General features: G+C 38.3%; 2 annotated features.

The window, feature by feature from the left end:
• Nucleotides 1,451-1,600: an enhancer, noted in NCBI's record as "active region_22756". NCBI's record gives its function as "activates an Ori minimal core promoter by ATAC-STARR-seq in GM12878 lymphoblastoid cells {active_cell/tissue: GM12878}" and the evidence as "EXISTENCE:reporter gene assay evidence [ECO:0000049][PMID:35858748]".
• Nucleotides 1,611-1,720: an enhancer, noted in NCBI's record as "active region_22757". NCBI's record gives its function as "activates an Ori minimal core promoter by ATAC-STARR-seq in GM12878 lymphoblastoid cells {active_cell/tissue: GM12878}" and the evidence as "EXISTENCE:reporter gene assay evidence [ECO:0000049][PMID:35858748]".

The raw sequence follows: 2,295 nt of genomic DNA on the forward strand, positions 1-2,295 counted from the left end.
AATAGCTTCTTGGGTGATTCTGATTGGCCCCTCTCTAGCTAAGGGCCTGGCAGTGGGCAGAAAAGTCACAGCACTTGGGAGAACATTGGCTTGACTACTTACTAATTGTATCTCAACCTGGAGCAAATTGCCTTCAGTCTTAGCCTCAGTTTCTTCATCCAATAAGCCTTTTATCTCATAGTGTTATATTAAAGATTATATAAGATAGTAGCCACAAAGAGCCTTAATGCTGTGCTTAAAAACTGGTTTGAAACATTGTAATGAATTCAGGGTAACAAGGGCTTAGTTACCACCAAAATCTTCAAAAAATAATCTGCAATTAAATCCAATATTTAAAATAACAAGAACAAAACACCTACTGCGTGTTTAGAATTTAGACTCATGTGTCTACTACTTAATTTCTACTGCCTGAAATTTTTTTATCCTTTGTGCGTATTGTGCTCAAAATTATAGAAAAGTAGTTTACAAACTGTGTGTCACTCCCCATTCACGGGTAATGAAGGAAATGTAGTAGGATGTGACAAGCATTTTTAAATGAAACAAATAGAATAGAAACAATCAGAACACATCGCATGGTTTCTTAGTAAGAATTGTGTACATTGTAATAAATGGGTCATGATTTAAATATATTTCCTATTGTACTTAAAATTTAAAAAAATTTAAAAAAAATAATAAAAATCTTGTGGAAAATACTCCTCTAGAACAAGCCCAAATGAAATCTGGTACATATTTCTATCAAATAAATCTGATTTTATTTCACTACCTTTTTAATGGAGAATAATAAAATATAAAATATTTTAGCCACCCACCCAGCCAACTTTTTCTTTAGTAATTCCTATATCATTATGTATCCTTTAGAGTGACTTTTACACAGCTAGTATGTCAAGAAAAGCAAACGTACATGATATTGGACAAGAAGTGGTTACACAGTACGTCCAAGTTACCGTTGCTTACAGGAGATTTAAAGGTGTTGCATAGGCACTGCCAAGGCACCAAAGAGACGGTGGATCCAATTAGATTTCCACCCTTCACAGGAGGGACTTGTCCCACTTAGGTGGCTTTAAAATGTCTTTCTATGTCACATAAAGAACAGAATGCAACAACAGAGGAGAGAAAACAGCTTGTCATAGAGACCAGAGGCACAGAGACTCTCTGAGCAGCAAAGTGAGTCCTGAGGCAGTAAAGCCTCCCTGGTTGTCCCTGACCATTTGGGACGAGGTCACCACCCCAGGATCCACAGATTGGGCCAGCATAGAGATGTTTCTCCGAAAGACATGACAGCAGAGACTGATCACCACATGCATTGTATAAACTTTGTAGATCATTGTACCTGATTGTTCAGAGTCAATCATCTGTAGTTCTCATTCCAGCCTTTAGTCATTCTCAAGAAATCAAGAAAATGTCATTTTTGTAATATTCTGAGTTCAAGAATCTCCCTACACATGGGAAACAGGTTACCCATACCAATTAAATCAGAATTTTGATGCCCTGTGTGGACTAAACCAGGGAAGCAGCCTCTTCTAAATCCTGCTTCAATGAGGCTTATGTCTGCATGGGTGTGCTACTCATTGAACACAAATATAAAGGTGCCACCAGACAAGGAGTTTTTCTGGTTCATCATTGCACTGCAGGATGCCATGAAGGAGTCACAGGCTGTGGCTTCCATGAAGCCCGTGACAAATTTAATACCCTATTACTTGTGTCGTCTGCACTAGCACTTCATTTGGTGACATCACTGGGTACAACTAAAGTTGAAATTTGTGTGACATTTTTGCAGGTGTTGCTTTTCACCAAAAATGTTATTTTACATAGTTTAGCCACAGTGCAGTGCTTTAAGTCTAGAACTAAACCTCAGGAAATCTAATGAGGTTGAAAAGAAAAGTGAAAGTTAACGGCTGCAGCTTTAACAAAGGCTCATCCTCCCTCCGGCTCTAAAGAGTCAGTAACTGAGTTCAGTAACTGAAAATTAAATTAGAAGAAATGCCACCTCTGCAGCTACAGCTACCTTTAGCATTAACAATAATATAGAATGGGATGGGGGTGGGGGGTTCTGCTCAATAGAGCCATCAAGAAACTTTCAGAGCCTTTAAACGGGATGGAATCTGCTCTTACCATGTTTTAAGCTTCCCTTGGTTTTATATTTTGCCCTCTCTCTAGCCTTCATTTCCCTCATAGCCATATCCTTGTCGTATTTTTTCTGTTCTCTCCTTTCTGCTGTTTTTTCCTCCATTGCAAGTCTTAATTTCCATTTTCTTCTCTTCCCCCACTGCCACATTTTTTTCCTTGATTCTCTGA

The sequence above is a fragment of the Homo sapiens genome, chromosome 5 (assembly GCF_000001405.40).
Source record: "Homo sapiens chromosome 5, GRCh38.p14 Primary Assembly".
Classification (NCBI taxonomy): Eukaryota; Metazoa; Chordata; class Mammalia; order Primates; family Hominidae; genus Homo; species Homo sapiens.